Here is a 17857-nt window from a genome sequence, read left to right as displayed (position 1 = left end):
CATTTTTATCTAAATGTTCTCAGAGTTTCATATCTCCAAGGATGCAAGAATACACATGATGGTAAAGATGGGAACAATAGACCCTGGGGATCAATGGATGGGGAAAGAAGTTGGGAGGCCTAGGCTGAAGAACTGCCTATTGGGTACTCTGCTTATGGCCTGGATGATGGGATTGTTGGGACTCCAAGCCTCAGCATCACACAATTTACCCATGTAGCAAATCTGCACATGTATCCTTTAATCTATAATACAAGTTGAAATAAAAAAGAAACTATCTTTCTAATAACATTATCAGCCCTGATAAATATGTTAATAAAGGTTTAAAATAGTCAAGCTCAAATATTCCATGTTACATATTCTATTTGAAACAAAGGAAAAAATGGGATGCTAGTCAATACCTTTAATAATGCAAATAGAACCCCAGCACTAAATATAAGAGAAAGAACTTATTTTTAAACATTTAATTATGTACAAAGTCCCTTTAAAAAAACCTTGAAATTAAACCAAAATATATAAAGTATTGTAACCATTATCACTATTACAAAAGGATTCTCTCCAGGCTACTGAGAAAGCAAATTCGGCCAGCTACATTTATTTGTTTTTTCATAAGCCATACATTTCTTGATAGAGATCTTAAAGGAAAAGTTAGGACCAACTTGACATAGATGTCAGAACTGGAAGGGACTTGACAACAATTACACATCATTTTCTGCGTATAGAGAGCTAGTGATAGTGAGTGACTGCTCCAAGGTCACTTATCTGCTAATAAGTGGCCAAGGTGGGGTTAGACCCTAGACTTCCATTTCTGTGCTCTTTCTATCTTACCTCCTTGCCTCCTGGGAGTGAGATAGATTAGCAAGATAAATTTGTAGTTGTCTTAGTCTTTTCATGCTGCTATAACAAAATACTCACAAGTGGGTAATTTATAAAGTACAGAAATTTATTTCTTGCAGTTCTGGAGGCTGGAAAGTCCAAGATCAAGATGCCAGCAAATGTGTCTGGTGAGGGCTGCTGTCTGCCTCCAACATGGTGCTTCTTCTTGTGTCCTCACTTGGTGAAAGGGACAAAAGGACAAAAAGGGCCAAATGCTATGTGAAGCCCTCTTTTATAGGAGCCTTAATTCCATTCATGAGGGATGAGCCCTCATGATGTAATCAACCCCTTAAAGCCCCACCTTTAATACTACAGTAGTCCCCCCTTGTCCATAGTTTCACTTTCCTAGGTACAGTTACAATAAGATATTTTGAGAGAGAGAGAAATAGAGACCACATTCATGTGATTTTTAATACAGTATAGTGTTACAGTTATTCTATTTTATTATTGGTTGTGGTTAATCTCTTACTGTGTGTAATTTCTAAATTAAACCTTATCATAGGTATGTATGTATAGAAGAAAAACATAGTATATATAGAAAACATAGTATGTATCAAATTCAGTACTATTTGAGGTTTTAGGCATCCACTTGGGGTTCTTGGAATGTATATTCCCTGTGGATAATAGGGCACAACTGTATTGTACTGGAGATACTACGTTTCAACACAAATTCTGTAAAGACACAAAAATTCAAGCCATGGCAGCAATCTGTAGAATGGTTTTGTTTACATATATATTTTAATGAAAGCAGCTATTATATGAAGAATGAAATATATACTCTGTTGTTATTATTCTTGTGCTCCTACATGTTCCTGCTCTTTCAATCCCATTTTCACTATTTTCTCATTAATTGCTGGGAACAAATAGGTAAGATAGGATGTGTTTCAATGTGCTTCTGTGAGCAGGTCAATGAAACGTGTCCAATAATGTAGAAAATAGACAGAATTCTTCTTCTCTTGGTCTCACCCAGTTGTCTTACACATCACCAAGTAGCTTGGTATTTAATGGGCTGTCCATTCTGATGCTACAGAAATCTGTCAGGGTTCTATCATAGGTCAGCTCTAGTCACTGCTCATTTATTTATCTTGTCATTTAACCAAGCACTTTTTTTTTTTCATGAAGCATCATCATTTCCAGAGACACCATTTTTTTTTTTCAGTAAAATCTCAAAGTCTAAAATTGAGTTAATTATATTTTAAATCATAAAACACTTTAAATTCACTTTAACATGTTTTCACATCTTAGAGGCTGAGGCAGGAGAATTGCTTGAACCCCAGAGGTGGAGGTTACAGTGAGCTGAGATTGTGCCACTGCATTCCAGCCTGGGCAATAGAGGGAGACTGTCTCAAAAAAAAAAAAATGTACTTTTCAAGTTGTATCATGTTTGGGTGTCAAAAATATAACTTTGAGATGAAGGAATATACATAAAAATTATTTCACAGATTTTTTCTCAGTTAAAAAATCATACTTGGAAAGATTACATTTTATTAAACCAAACATCTTCTATAGTATCTATATTATTAAAATGTACAGGTTATTATAAGTAAGGAAAAAATTAAGAATCTGTCTTAGATAAGAATTCTTAGATTGTTGGAACTAGAAATAAATTAATAGCTATAATTTGTGGAACATTCCAAGGTTCAATAGCTTGCATGAAGTCCTTACCACTGACATATACCACTTCTAGTCTATGTTTAAAGGGACACCTTTACTAACTCTTTGGTAAAGTCCTGATTTCTGCTTTAACAGTATTCAATTCTCCATTAAGTGCTTAGAGGAATATGAGTCCTTGGTGTATTGACTGAGGTGCATTTTGTAGTTATTGGTACATCACCAAATATACAGAAATTGGTAGTTACGTCTTTTTCTAATGTTTTCCTAACATGTCAGTTGGGATACCTTTTCTTCTTTTATTATTATAATTAATTTTTTAATAAAAAAGGATTTTAGAAATCCAAACAATTGCATATTTATTGATATTTTATTCCTAATAAAAGTGATACTTTGATATTTAAGAATTCAATAATATAATTTGAGATTTTTTTTTTTTTTTACACATTTCTGAAAAGGGCTTTGGTCCTCTTAATAGCTTTGAAATTGTACTTGACAGACTAATTAGATTGTTTAGACTGGCACTCTCAGAGGTACTTAAATGCACTTTTTATGTCAGACACAAAATCTGAGAGACTACTCCTTCCTTGTGCCCATTAGTAATGGGATCTAATAGATAACACCCACTTCCTTGAAGCCTTCTCAATCGGACATGCTGAGTTAGTCCTTTCGCAGGCTAACTAATCATTCAGTTCTTTTGATACCCTCCTTCCCTATGAGTCTAACCAATATAATATTCCTATTTATTGACTCATTTTATCGTAATTTCCTATTGTCACATTACATGGACTGCGTCAGTTAGTTCCTTTTTTCCAACTTTTATTTTAGATTCAGTGGGTATATGTGCAGGTCTGTTACCTGGTATATTGCATGATGCTGAGGTTCGGGGTATCAGTGATTCTGTCACCCAGGTACTGAACATAGTACCCAATGGTTAGTCCTTCAACTCTTCCCCCATTTCTCCCTCTCTCCTCTAGTAGTCCCTGCTGTCTGTTGTTCCCATTTTTATGTCCATGTGTACCAATGTTTAGCTCCCACTTATAAGTGAGAACATGTGATATTTGGTTTTCTGCTCCTGTATTAATTCACTTAGAATAATGGACTCCAGCTGTATCCATGTTGCTGCAAAGAACATGATTTCATTCTTTTTTATGACTGCATAGTATTCTATGGTATATATGTACCACATATGTTTTAATCTAATTCACCATTGATGGGCACCTAGGTTGATTCCATGTCTTTGCTATTGTGAATACTGTTGTGATGAATATGTGACTTCATGTGTCTTTTTGGTAGAATGATTTATTTTCTTTTGAATATATACTCAGTAATGGGATTGCTAGGTAAAATGGTAGTTCTGTTTTAAGAACTTTCTTAAAGTTTTTAATTCTTAAAGAATATTTCTTTGAGAAATCTCCAAACTGTTTTCTTTTTTTCCCCCTTGAGACAAGGTCTCACTGTTTCACTCGGGCTGGAGTGCAGTGGCACAATCATGTCTCACTATAGCCTGGACCTCCTGGGCTCAAGTGATCTTCCCACTTCAGCCTCCCAAATAGTTGGGACTACAGGCATGCACCACCACACTCAGCTAATTTTTGTATTTTTTGTAGAGGTGGAGTTTTGCCATGTTGTTCAGGCTGGTCTTGAATTCCTGGGCTCAAGTAATCTGCCCACTTTGGCCTCCCGAAGTGCTGGGGCTACAGGCATGAGCCACCACGCCCAGCCCCAAACTGCTTTTCTATGGGGGTTGAACTAATCTATATTCCCACCAACAGTGTGTAAGCATTCCCTTTTCTTTGTAGCCTCACCAGCATCTTTTGTTTTTTGACTTCTTAATAATAGCCATTCTAACTGGTGTGAGATGGTATCCCATTGTGGTTTTGATTTGCATTTCTCTGATAACTGGTGATTTGAAGCATATGAAGCATTTTTGCATGTTTGTTGGCTGCTTGTAGTTTTCTTTTGGGACATGTCTGTTCACATTTTTTGCCTTTTTGTTTTTTTTTTTCTTTTGCTTGCCTGCTGAGTTTAAGCTCCTTATAGATTCTGGATATTAGAGCTTTGTTGGATGCATAGTTTGCAAATATTTTCTTCCATTCTGTAGATTGTCTGTTTACTCTGTTGATAGTTTCTTTTGCTGTGCAGAAGCTCTTTAGTTTAATTAGTTCTTATTTGTCAGTTTTTGTTTTTGTTGCAATTGCTTTTGAGGGCCTAGTCATAAATTCATTTCCAAGGCTAATGTCCAGAATGGTGTTTTCTAGGTTTTCTTCTAGGATTCTTATAGTTTGAGGTCTTACATCTAAATCTTTAATCCATCTTGAGTTAATTTTTTTATGTGATGAAAGGTAGGGGTACAGTTTCATTCTTTTGCATGTGGCTAGCCAGCTATCTGAGCACCATTTTTTGAATAGGAAGTCCTTTCCCCGATGCTTCTTTTTGTTGACTTTGTTGAAGATCAGATAGCTGTAGGTGTGCAGCTTTATTTCTGTGTTCTCTATTCTGTTCCATTGGTTTATGTGCCTGTTTTTGCACTAGTACCATGCTGTTTTGGTGACTATAGCCATATAGTATAGTTTGAAGTCAGATAACGTGATGCCTCCAGCTTTGTTCTTTTTGCTTAGGATTGCTTTGGCTATTTGGGTTCCTTTTTGGTTCTATATAAATTTTAGAATTATAGAATTTGGTTCTATATGAATTTCATTTATCGTTCTGTGAAAAATGATGTTGGTAGTTTGATAGGAATAGCATCGAATCTCTAGATTGCTTCGGGTAATATGGCCAATGTAACAACATTGATCCTCCTAATTCATGAGCATGGAATGTTTTAACATTTGTTTGTGTCACCTCTGATATCTTTTGGCAATGTCTTGTAGTTTTCCTTGTAGAGATCTTTCACTTCCTTGGTTAGATGTTTTCCTAGGTATCTGTGTGTGTGTGTGTGTGTGTGTGTGTGTGTGTGGCTATTGTAAATGGGATTGTGTTCTTGATTTGGCCCTCAGCTTGAACATTGTTAGTGTATAGAAATGTGACTGATTTTTTACATTGATTTTGTATCCTAAAACTTTACTGAAGAAGTTTATCAGTTGCAGGAGCCTTTGGACAGAGTCTTTAGGGTTTTCTAGGTATAGAATCATATTCTCTGTGAAGAGATATAGTTTGATTTCTTCTTTTCCTATTCGGATGCCTTTTAGTTCTTTCTCTTGCCTGATTGCTCTGGCTAGGACTTCCAGTATTATTAATAGATTGAATAGGAGTGGTGAGAGTGGGCATACTTGTCTTTTTCCAGTTCTCAAGGGTAAGGCTTTTAGTTTTTGCCCCTTCAGTATGATATTCGCTGTGGGTTTACCATAGATGGCTCTTAATATTTTGAGGTATGTTCTTTCAATGCCTAGTTTCTTGAGGGGTTTTATCATGAAGAGATGTTGGATTTTATCAAAAACTTTTTGTGTTTATCAAGATGATCATATGGTTTTTGCTTTTAATTGTGTTTATGTGGTGACTCAAATTTATTGATTTGCATGTGTTGAATGAACCTTACACCTTAGGAATGAAGCCTACTTGATCATGGTGAATTAACTTTTTGATGTGCTGTTGGATTTAGTTTGCTAGTATTTTGTTAAGGATTTTTGCTTCTGTGTTTATCAGAGATATTAGCCGGTAGTTTTCTTTTTTGGTTGTTGTGTCTTTGCCAGGTTTTGGTATCAGAGTGATGCTGGCTTTGTAGAATGAGTTAGGGAGGAGTTCTTTCTCCTCGATTATTTGGAATAGTTTCAATAAAATTGGTACCAGCTCTTCTTTGTACATCTGCTAGAATTTGGCTGTGAATCCATCTAGTCCTGAGGTTTTTTTGATAGGTAGGGTTTTTAAAAAATTATTGCTTCAAGTTCAAAACTTGATATTGGTCTGCTAAGGGTTTCAAGTTCCTTCTAATTCAGCCTTAGGAAGTTGTGTGTTTCCAGGAATTTACCCATTTTCTCTAAATTTTCTAGTTAGTATGCATAGAATTGTTCATAATAGTCTCTGAGGATCTTTTGTATTTCTGTGGGATTCATTGTAATATCACCTTTGTCATTTGTGATTGTGCTTATTTGTATCTTTTTTTTTGTTAATCTAGCTAATGGTCTATCAATCTTGTTTATCCTTTCAAAGAACCAACTTTTAGTTTTGTTGCTTCTTCGTATGAATTTTTGGGTCTCAACTTTGTTCATTTCTGCTCTGATTTTATTTATTTTCTTCTGCTAGATTTGGGGTTACTTTGCTCTTGTTTTTCTAGATCCTCTAGGTTTGATGTTAGATTTCTAATTTGAGATCTTTTTAAATTTTGGAGGTAGGTGTTTAGTGCTATAACTTTGCTCTGCTTTTGCAGAATCCCAGAGATGTTGATGTGTTGAATCTCTGTTTTCATTTATTTCAAAGAATTTCTTGATTTCTGCCCTAATTTTATTGTTTACTGAAAGCCACTCAGAAACAAGTTGTTAAATTTTCATGTAATTTTGCAATTTTGAGAGATCTTGGAGTTTATTTCTATTTTTATTGCACTATAATCTGAGAGTATGGTTGGTATGATTTTGATATTTTTAAATTTATTGAGACTTGCTTTACAGTTGAGCATGTGGTTAATCTTAGAGTATGTTTCATGTGCAGATGAGAAGAAGGTATATTCTATACTTGATGGATGGAGTATTCTATAGATGTCTGTTAGTTCTCATTGGTCAAGTGTCAAATTTAAGTCCAGATATTCTTTATTAGTTTTCTGCCTTGATGATCTGACAATGGGGTGTTAAAGTTCCCTTCTATTATTGTGTGGCTGTGTGAGTCTTTTTGTAGGTCTAGAAGTACTTGTTTTATGAATCTGGGTGCTCTGATGTTGGGTGCATATATATTTAGGATAGTTAAGTCTTCTTGTTTAATTGAACTTTTTATCATTACATAATGCTCTTCTTTGTCCTTTTTTACTGTTATTGGTGTTAAAAATCTGTTTTATCAGATAAAAGAACAGCAACTCCTGCTTTTTTTGTTTTGTTTTCTGTTTCCATGGTAGATCTTTCTTCCACCCTTTACTTTGAGCCTATGGGTCTCTTGAAGACAGCAGACAATTGGACTTCATTCTTTTATCCAACTTGCTACTCTCTGCCTTTTAAGTGGGAACATTGAAACCACTTGCATTCAAGTAATAGTGATATGTAAGGTTTTGATCCTATCATAAGTTGTTAGCTGTTTGCTTTGTAGTTTCTATTTTGTAGTTGTTTTATAGAGTCTGTGGGCTATGTACTTAACAGTGCTTTTGTGGTAGCAAGTATCATTCTTTTGTTTCCATGTTTAGAACTTTCTTAAAGATCTCTCATAAGGCTGGTCTAGTGGTAATGAATTCCCTTAGCACTTGCTTGTCTGGAAAATATTTTATTTAACCTTCTTTTATGAAGCTTAATTTGGTGGGATAGTTCTTTTTTGAATATCCCTAAACTTTGATACATCTGGAAGGCAGCTCATCTGGTGCTTGCTCTGAACTGAAAATGAAGGCCCACATTCTTGAGTATTCCTTCACTTAACTCTCATATCCTCTTCCAAGGAGATATAAATATTAACCAGAAGTCCATTCCAGGTTTCCCATTGTTTCAGTCTCTGCTTTCTTTTCTCAGGGAGTCCATTTTGCTGAACCTCACCTCCACCCCAACCTGCACTCTCTTTTCCAAAACATATTATTAACAAGTAGTAAATCATGTCATGGGATGTCAGTCTCCCAGTGTTCTGCTGTTAAAATAGGTGGGATAATGACCTCAGGACAAAGATTCCTTTAAGATATTTGCATTTACCATTATTGTTTTGCATGTTTTCTTTCAGATTATCTCAACTTTGGTCTCCTGGGACCACTCGTTGCTGACAGTCAGAAAGTAAGTGTATATTTAAAATGTTCTTCTTAGCTATAAATGGAAATCTCAGTTTTGTTCAGTAGTTTTCACAAGAGACAGTTCTGTTCAAATGTTTTATCAAGAATAGTAGCATAATGAATGGGAGTTTTGTATATATAAAAGATACTAAAGCCCATTTAAAAAATTTATGGAAATGATAAATAAATAGAAATGAAGTAAATAAGGTACTGCCTGCTTATCACCTTTGAATATTACTTACAGCATAATAAAGTATATTTGCAACCACTCAGTGGAGTAGTTTTTATATGACATCTTCATCCCAGGCAGCTGCCAGAGTCTTCTCAAGGGGTACATTACAACAGCATCCTCCTTTATGTTAAATTGGGTCATATTCCAAGAGGTATCTCAAATGGCATTAAGCACCAATTAACAGATATCAGATAGTCTGGCACCTAATGGGCACATAACAGATTTGTATTAGAGAATGAACGTGTGGGTGAATTAATTCATCAATTTGTGTGGCAGCTCTGCAAGGTCCTCACCACTGCAAGGCAATGTAGGAGTTAGCTCCAAATCTAACTCCAATGTGGTTAGCTCCAAATATGGATCCAGATACTTGGGTTCAATTTTGGCTCTGTTAGTTACTATCTGGGTGACTATGGAACACATCCAAATATCTGTTTCTTGTTTTTTTTGTCCATAAAATGGGACTAATACCATATTTTGTTGTTATGAGATTATTACAAGGATTAAATGAGTTAATATTTTCAAAGTGCTTAAAAGAGTGACTGGCACATGGTAATCACTGCAAAAATGTTTGTCAAATAAATTAAAATAAATTAAGAATACAGGGACATTCCAAGATCCCATATTTAGAGATTGAGAAACTGGTTTGGTCTGGAAGCAAACAATACATACCTGTTTCCCAGATCTTGGTTTCTAATACTGTTTTCCAATGAAATGAACCAGGGTTCCTTGGAGAAATGACTGATTTAAGACTGTGGCAGCAAATATACAAGATGAGCCTGGAGCATCTTGTAGTGCTATAAAGTAAAGAAGTGCAAAAAATAAAAATCCGCAATGATGGTTGTATGTGAAAAGAATACAGGACCCAATCGAAAGTACTTTCAATGTCCAAAGATGGAAAATTTGAGCAAAGAAAGGAAGTTAGAATTAGGATATCACTTAAAGTACAAAATACATATCTATACTGATATAAATACATGATGAATAAATAAATGAAGAGAATGTAGAAGAATTCCAAATAATGTATGTAAGATACTCTGCCTTTCAGGGGGTAAAGCATAACCCTCCCTGGGGGCTGCACAGAATGACTTTCTTTCAAAGAGTATAGTAAAGAAAGGGAGGGGAAAAAGTAACTTCACAATGGAGAAACCCAAGCAAACACTATCTCAAGCCAGGTGATTAAGGTTAAATCAGCAGTGGCAGGTCACATTGGTAGTAGGTACCCTTGACATGATGTGATGAGAAGGGCACTTTGCCTTTGTAATCTTCCTCCCCAAAATACTTGATCTAAGTCTAATTATGAGAAAAGCATAAGACAAATTCCAGTAGAGCGACATGCTACAAAATATCTGACTAGTACCCCTCAAAGCTGTGAAGGTCATCAGAAACAACTCAAGTCTGAGAGATAGTCACAATCAAGAGAAGCCTAAGGAGACATGATGACTCAATGTAATGTGGGATCCTGGACCAAAAATAGGATGTTAGGTAAAAACTAAGAAAGTTTGATTAAAGTATGGAGTTTAGTTCACAATAATGTATCAACATTGGTTCATCAAATGTGATAAATGTACCATGCTAATGTAAGATGTTAATATTTGGGAAAACTGGGTATGGGGTATACAAGAACTTTCTGTATTATCTTTATAATCCTGTAAATCTAAAACTTTGAAAATAAACCATTTATTTGAAAAACAGTTAAGTAGGCCAGGCGCAGTGTCTCACTCCTGTAATCCTAGCACTTTGGGAGGCCAAGGCAGGCAGATCACGTGAGGTTGGGAGTTTGAGACCAGCCTGGCCAACATGGAGAAGCCCCATCTCTACTAAAAATACAAAATTAGCTGGGCGTGGTGGTGCATGCCTGTAATCCCAGCTACTCAGGAGGCTAAGGCAGGAGAGTTGCTTGAATCCAGGAGGCGGAGGTTGTGGTGAGCCGAGATTGTGCCCTTGCACTCCAGCCTGGGCAACAAGAGCGAAACTCTGTCCCAAAACAAGCAAAACAAAACAGTTAAGTAGACACACCAAAACCAAAAACAACAAAAATGAAAACAAACAAAAAAACTGGTTTGGAGGTATACCTTCCAATTTTTAAGTAACAAAATAAAAGAATTTTGATATTTTGAAAAATGTTGAGTCTGATTCATTTGTGTTTCAAGACTCACTCATGGAGAATGATTTTCTGCATTCAAGTTTTGAATTGGATAAAGGTATACACATGTATAAAGCATTCTGCTAGATTTCTGTTATCCTCAACAGCCAAAAGAAAATAATAATTGGCAAATCAGAGCTTTTTTTCAAGAATGGCTGTTATTTGAGTTCAAAGTGGATTATGACATGTGTTAGTTATGTATTGCTACATAACAAATTGCCACAAATATAGTGACTTAAAACAATGAGTATTGTGTTCCATCTTCTTGGGTCAGGAGTCTGAGTACAGCTTGGGCCTCTGCTTATGGTCTTGGAAAGGTGTCATCAAGATCTTGACTGTGCTGTGTTCTTGTCTGGAGCTTGAGTTTTTTCTTCTAAGCTCATGCAGTTGTTGGCAGAATCCAGCTGAGATTGTAGGACTGAGGTCCCCACTTTATTTCTGGAAGTCACCTGGGTCACTCTCATGTCCTAGGAATCACCCACAGCTTCTTCCCATGTGGCATCTCACAGGCTTGTCACAACATGGCAGCTTATGCCTTCAACGTCTGCAGGAGAAACTCCCATTGCAGCCTGCTAAGACATCAAGGTAGTGAAATATTCAATGAAGGCATTGGCTTTGCCATATTTCGTTTGCTGAAAATCAAGTCACAGGTCGTGCCTGCACTCTGTGGGAGGGGATTACATAGGACATGACTCAGTGGGGATCACCTGAGGGTGTGTCCTCTACAATAGGAGAATTACAAAACAGATGCAAGTGGCTGGGCATTGGGATTCCACCACAGATGAGCAAACTAAAGTAAAGGCAAATCAGAAATGCTTGCTTCTTGCTTTCAAGCAAACTATAGCACGAGGTAAATAAATAGGTTTCACCTCTTGCCCCCAACAAAGTTGTTAAAAAATACTCCTAAATACTCCTCAAAGTTATCAAGTGAGAATTAGGATTATCTGAAGATGGAGGAGTCAGAGAAAAAGATTTGGAGACTGCTCATAAATACATCATCATTTCCCTGACTAATACTTTCTCTTTTTTAGTGAGGAAATTTGCACAAAAATATGTTCTCAACTCCATAGCAACAATGTCTGTACACCTTAATAACTCATTTTATAAAAGTTCAAATAACATGATCTCATTTTCAACTTTTCATGACTTAATTTTTTTTTCATTTTTCAGGCTTAGTTTTTTTAATGCTTGTGTTTTAAAATTCTGCCTGCCAATAATTATTAATACAGTGATACTGTTTAGTTTTTTTATATTTTACATGATGTTTGTAAATTTTATATTTTAAATGTATTCAATATTTATTTTCACTAATTTTATGAGTTCTGAATCCTTTTCTTATAAAATATGAATTACAAAAATACTGGCATGGCCGTTTTGCTCCAGCATTGTAATCACCACCCAGATTTTTAGGACCTCAAAAATGTATATTTTTCCTGATTGTTCTTTATAACACTAAACTGTCTAGAAACCCTTATATTTAGGTATCTGAAGTGTATTTGCAAAGTTTCTGCTTGCATCTGGAAATAAAGCACAAGATCCCTTATTAGACCTTGTGTCTAACTGTGGGTTTGGATCATGTCATCATTGTGTCTATGAATATCCACAGAGGTTACTACAAACCTCTTAGGGGACCGAAACAGAAACCTTTGCTATTTATGTCTCAGACATGCAGCCACCATGAAGAAAGCAGGTAATTCGTGGAAACGCAGCTCATTAGTAGCCAAGATGAAATGAAAAGGAAATATATATTGCAGTAATTTAATTAAGAAACTCACAAGAGGGGCTGGGCATGGTGGTTCATACCTGTAATCCCAGCGCTTTGGGAGGCCGAGGTGGCAGATCACTTGTGGTCAGGAGTTCGAGACCAGCCTGGCCAACATGGCGAAACCCCATCTCTACTGAAAATACAAAAATTCGCCGGGCATGGTGGTGTCTGCCTGCAGTCTCAGGTACTAGGGAGCCTGAAGTGGGAGGATCACTTGAATCCAGGAGGCAGAGGTTGCAGTGAGCCGAGATCGCGCCATTGCACTCCAACCTGGGCGACAGAGTGAGACTCTGTCTCAAAAAAAAAAAAAAGAAAAGAAAAAAAAGAAAAGAGAAATTCATAAGAGGAAGGATTTCCTGTGGCCCCCTTCTCCTTCTCCCCCCTTCTCCTCTTTTTTTTTTCAAGTCTCTACATGCCTATATTTTTCTTTTCTCTACTCATTCACAATAAGCCTTAGGCTGTAGCTACTGGTTCCTCTTATGCCAAGGGGTACAAAGAATTGTTATTCAGCATTGTGAGAACAGGATCACCTGTACTATTGGTAAAATAACTCATTTAGCAGATAAAGGTCAGAGCTTACCTGCTTCCTTCTTTCCTCCTTGGGGTTGTTTTCTTTGTAGGAATTAAATAAAGGGGTCTTTTTTGAAAATAGGAAGTAGATTAGAGTAAATAGAAGTAACCTTTCCTGTTTGTGAAGGAGGCATTCAGTGAAAGCTCAGAGCAAGTGCATTTATCTTTAGCTGGAAGGTCATAGAGCAAAGTGATTGTTGATCAGGGCTAAATTCTTAGGAAAGTCTTAGGATTTCTCAGGGTCGTTGCCCTGTGGTGGTCTTCAGAGCTCTTTCTCATGGTTTTAACTGAGCTTCACCAGGGATTTAGGTTTGCCTAGTGGTTTTATCAGATATATTTGCCATGTACCTTAATATAGAAATCTGGTACACTCACCTTTTACCAAAATTCTGGATCTATTTATTATGGGAATAGAACAACCACTAGATCTTTTTGTCAAAAGAGCTGGGTTTATTTTGAAGTAATGCATTTTATAAATAGTATCTTTGTACATTATATCTGTCTTTCCATTTTGTTTCTAGATCATCCTAACATCCTTTCTGTATTACGGTGATTAAATCCACATTGGATTTCCTTATTAGGGAGTACCTAGGTAGCACGTGGCTGTGGCAGTCTGGGAAGACAGACATTCACCAACTCATTTGTTATTTCTCTTTATTTGGTACTATTCTTGGGGCCCTGTGTCCCCAAAATTACCTCCTCTCATTCTGAGCTCTCCTTTTCTGGCGACCTCAGCACTCAATGCCCACCTGCCACCATCCCTCATACCTCCTCCTCTCATGTCGGATCAAAACACTGTTTCCTCAAGTCAAATAAAAACTTACATACCTTCCATTTGCCCTGCCCAGTGCTCAGGGCCACAGAGATGGGGCCAGCAAAACAAAACTTCCACACCTGTCCTAGAACCTCCCATCCTCTTCTTGGGACCACTTTTCCCATCTCAGAGGTCCCTAGCTCCTTTCTGGGCATTTCTCCTGTGTCTCATTCTCTGACATCTTTATCCTCACTGAGGTCTCAGTGTAGGATTGCCCCTCCTAGGGCAATCATGTTCTAAGAGAGCGATCCTGAAGACTAGAAAGACTTCACACCCAAAATAATGCACTCCCAATGGTGAAATTCTAGGCACCATGATAGGCAATAGTGGAGACATTTTTAACCCATCCTTGTCCAGCCTCCCTTAAATCACATCACATAGGTAGATGCATACGTTGCTTGCTATGGGTCTACCCTGTCTAGGAACTATTAAAAAACGGAAATGTCAATCTCTGTTCTTAAGGTGTAAATAACCTTAAGGGGCGTTACATTAAACATGCCCATGGAGAAAGATGAATGTACTGTTTAAGAGGTGTTCTAATCACATAATCCTGGGTTCTCACCTCAGTTTCTCTATACTAGCTGTTTAGCCTTGGGCAAGTTTCTGAACTTTTCAGAAGTTTCTGAAAATTTCAGAGGCTCATTTTCTTTATTAATAACACTGGGATAACAAAGCCTATTCTGAGGTGGTTATGAAAATTCAATGAGATAATTATATGAGATAGTATATGAGATAATTTATGCAATTCTTGGCATATAGTAAATAGCATGACACTTGCGCCATCAGTAAGCTTGAAGAAGGCAGTGTGGAAGTCTGAGGCTGAGAACAGGAGTGTGGAGCAAGGCAGTGATGAAGGTGGAGGAGGCTGAAGGGCTTCACAGGAGGGCATTTCTTTGCTTCATGGGAAGCACTGAGTGTTGTCCAATATCTGTACCTGCACAGGGTGGATACTTCATCCTTTGATCAATTCTTGGAAGCAACCTGCTGAGGAGTGCTGAAAAGTATGAGTGGAACCTGTCAAAAGACAAAATTACAACAAATGTGGTCGAAAAATTGAATTGGCTTTTATTTGTAATTTTAGACTCAGGCACCATCTCATTCTATAAAATAGAATGGGTGCTCTGATGGGCTCAACAAGAGGGGGCTTATAGGCAGTAAAAGGCTGAAGAAAGCAGAAACAGGGAACAAAAAGCAGATCAGTCATTTCAAAGACCACCTTGAAAAAGATCACTTTCCTTATAGAGTTAAAACAGAGGGGACTTCTTTATTATGTTGGCTCAGGTAAACTGGGCCTCTTCTGATTGGTTGCTATGAATCTCTTGATTTTTGGAAAACTGGCCCATTTCAAAGTTCAGTGTGATGATGTGGCACTTAGCACAAGTGACTCCATTTTGATTTGGTCTGGTCTGTTGGGGCCTAGTGCAGGAGCCTAATCCAAAATAATGACCTTCCCTAAATTTTTGTTTAATAAACCCATGCACATTATCACTTTACAGCTTGAGGGATAAAGGTAGCTTCCTCCCTTATTGTAGCTGTTTATTTCTAAGTCTCTCTCCTCCATTGGACTATGTGGTCCTCAAAGCAGGGATCTGACAGTTCATTCCTGTTATCTTCAGGTCATGAGTATGAGTACATGCTCAGTGCTTAATATTTGGTAGAATTATTGAAAGGGTAGAAGATGCAGGAGTTTTATTGCATGAAGTCTTCTAATAACACCCGTGATCATATGATGCATTTACTAAGACTTAGTACAAGGATGTGAACATATTTTTACTGCATGCAAGAACATGGTTCCGTGAAATGAAAGATGGAAATATTGTGGTTTGTGGTTCTCCAAAACAACATTGTTTGTGGGGTCAGAGGAGAAAAAATATGTGACTTAGGAAAGTTGCAACAGCCTTGAAAATGCTGGGTTTGCTGCTTGACGAGAAAAAAACCAAACAACACCCTCCCCACAAACTCCCAAGCACATAAAACTGGAAGAAGAGCCTGTGTAAAATCAAGCCGGATGCCAAAAGGGACGGGTTGGCAGATTGGAATGGATTATTGCGAATTCCTGCAGCCACCTGGCATGTGATTTAACACTTCTCTGAGCTTTTGTTTTTCCATGCTATTCGGGGCTGAATTTATTCCTATCTTATTGTCCTTGTCAAAAGCAATGATTTTTTAAAAGGCTGTATATTTTCTTTCCATTCTTGTTTACACCTTGCTTATCCTGCTGTTTACAAGATTGATCTCTCACACTCTGCCTGGGTGTTTTCTATTCTTGTGTAGTTAAAATTGCCAGAGGAGTTTTTTGAGCTGCTCTATTTTAAAGAATGGGGGGAGCCCTACTCCCTTGTGGAATCCCAGCATGGCATGGCATCTCCCCAATAAAAGAGGCACGTAGCTATTATGAACTTATGACCAACTGTGAAACTTTACACATTCAAGTATTTTAAATGCTTGAAAGTGCCTGCTGTGCATCTTGTTACAGAAATGTAATACCAGACATGCTTCTCAAATGGGTTGATGACTCCTTGGAAGTTGCCTGGAGAAGCATGAAATGTAGTTTCTTTCCAAAGTGGAGCACTTGCTATCTTCTCCCTAGCACTGGGTTGGAAATAATGATATATTGCCTCCTGTCCCGTCCCCTCTGCGGGTTGTCATAATTAAATGAAATGAGGGATACAAAGTTCTTTAGCCACTAGGCACTTAGTAGGAATTTAATAAAATATACTAAGTGCCACTATTTTATTAAATAAGAAATTAATAAAATATTTAATACAATAATAAAATTTATTAAATTATTTAATAAAATAAAATAATAAAATTTAATAAACCTCTTATTTTATTGTCTCCATTTAACATATTATTTCTCTCTTTAACATATCCTTTAAGAAGTGGCTCTAGAGAGTATGGCACAAGAGTTTCTACATGTTTCAAATTTACCTGCTTATAGGGTGGATCTAAGTAAGTGAAAATGGCATTAAAGTAGCCAAGAGGAAAGATTTAGTCCAAAGGGAACATTAAATAGCTGCATGTAATTCTCCATAATGGGCATAGATGTTGACGATGATGATGAGGTTGTTGCAGGGCTGAGACTAGAGAAGGTGAGTAGGACATTTGCTTTTGTGCAAAATTAGAAGTTGCCAAAAACTCCATAATCAAAATAAATAGCACTTAGCGCAATGTTTTTCAAAAATCAAATGCAAAACATCCATGATGGACAAAGATCAACATTTTAAATAAAAATAGGATCAATAACATTGCTGTGCAGAGTCACACTGGAACCCAGGGCAAGAGAAAAAATCAGTAATAGCGAATCTGTCTTAATTAAAAATGTTGATATTTTATTCATCATGAATGTCTTCATTCATTCTGATTTTCTTTAAAACATTGCATTAAAATATTACTTATGTAGATTTATGCTTTTGTGGCACCACCTTAAATCTTGCGCCTAAAAGTGGGCTGCTCACCTATCTGGCCTCTCCATGCCCTTGCTCTGGGGTGATGTCCACCAGGCTGGGAGGAAAGTCCCAAAGCGGCCTTCAAATATTCACTCCTTATTTTCTCTTGACCCACTCTGTAGTCCTGAGTTAGTTTAACTATGATCTCATGAAAAGACTATACCAACTGAAATTCTGATGTTTTTCCCAATCAAGTGACTGCAATGAAAGGTATAGTTTGGAAGGAACACAAAGTAAATCATTCATTAGAAACTTGGTTTAGGCTGGGGTCAGCAAACGGTGGCTGGCATCCTGGCTGGCTGCTTTGCAGGTAAAGTTTTATAGGCACACAGGCCCACCCATTTGTTTTTGTGTCAACCATGGCCGTTTCTGTGCCTCAATGGCAAAGTTGAGTCATCATTGCAACTGGAGACCGAACGGTATGCAAAGCCAAAAATATTTACCATGTGGCGTGTTGCAGGAAGAGGTTGCAGGCTTCTGATTTAGGTTATTAAAGCACTCAGATGTTCTTGG

The 17857-nt window shown here is 37.1% G+C and overlaps 1 protein-coding gene and 1 long non-coding RNA gene across 19 annotated transcripts in view, besides 1 other annotated feature; one reads left to right on the top strand and one right to left on the bottom strand.

Moving 5' to 3' along the window:
* Positions 1–17857, top strand: part of NCALD (neurocalcin delta) — a 438366-nt gene that overhangs the window by 200724 nt on the left and 219785 nt on the right. For all 17 annotated transcript variants that reach the window (NM_001040630.2, XM_047422315.1, NM_001040627.2 and 14 more), the window contains one exon: positions 8326–8375. The gene's annotated coding sequence lies outside the window, so the exon portion shown is untranslated. The remainder of the gene's footprint in view (positions 1–8325; positions 8376–17857) is intronic.
* On the bottom strand, positions 963–16240 carry LOC124901996 (uncharacterized). Of its 2 annotated transcripts, none has more exons than XR_007061036.1 (3): positions 12550–16240; positions 8614–11318; positions 963–1050 (listed from the first exon to the last, which is right to left on the bottom strand). It is a non-coding gene; the product is annotated as an uncharacterized LOC124901996 (long non-coding RNA). The 2 variants fall into 2 exon arrangements; XR_007061037.1 differs by having other exon boundaries at positions 8614–11315; positions 12550–12594.
* Positions 12475–12594: an enhancer, noted in NCBI's record as "active region_27739". NCBI's record gives its function as "activates an Ori minimal core promoter by ATAC-STARR-seq in GM12878 lymphoblastoid cells {active_cell/tissue: GM12878}" and the evidence as "EXISTENCE:reporter gene assay evidence [ECO:0000049][PMID:35858748]".

This window comes from Homo sapiens, chromosome 8 (genome assembly GCF_000001405.40).
Source record: "Homo sapiens chromosome 8, GRCh38.p14 Primary Assembly".
NCBI lineage: Eukaryota > Metazoa > Chordata > Mammalia > Primates > Hominidae > Homo > Homo sapiens.
The sequence above is the reverse complement of the archived record's forward strand: the minus strand, read 5'-3'. Positions and strand labels throughout refer to the sequence as shown.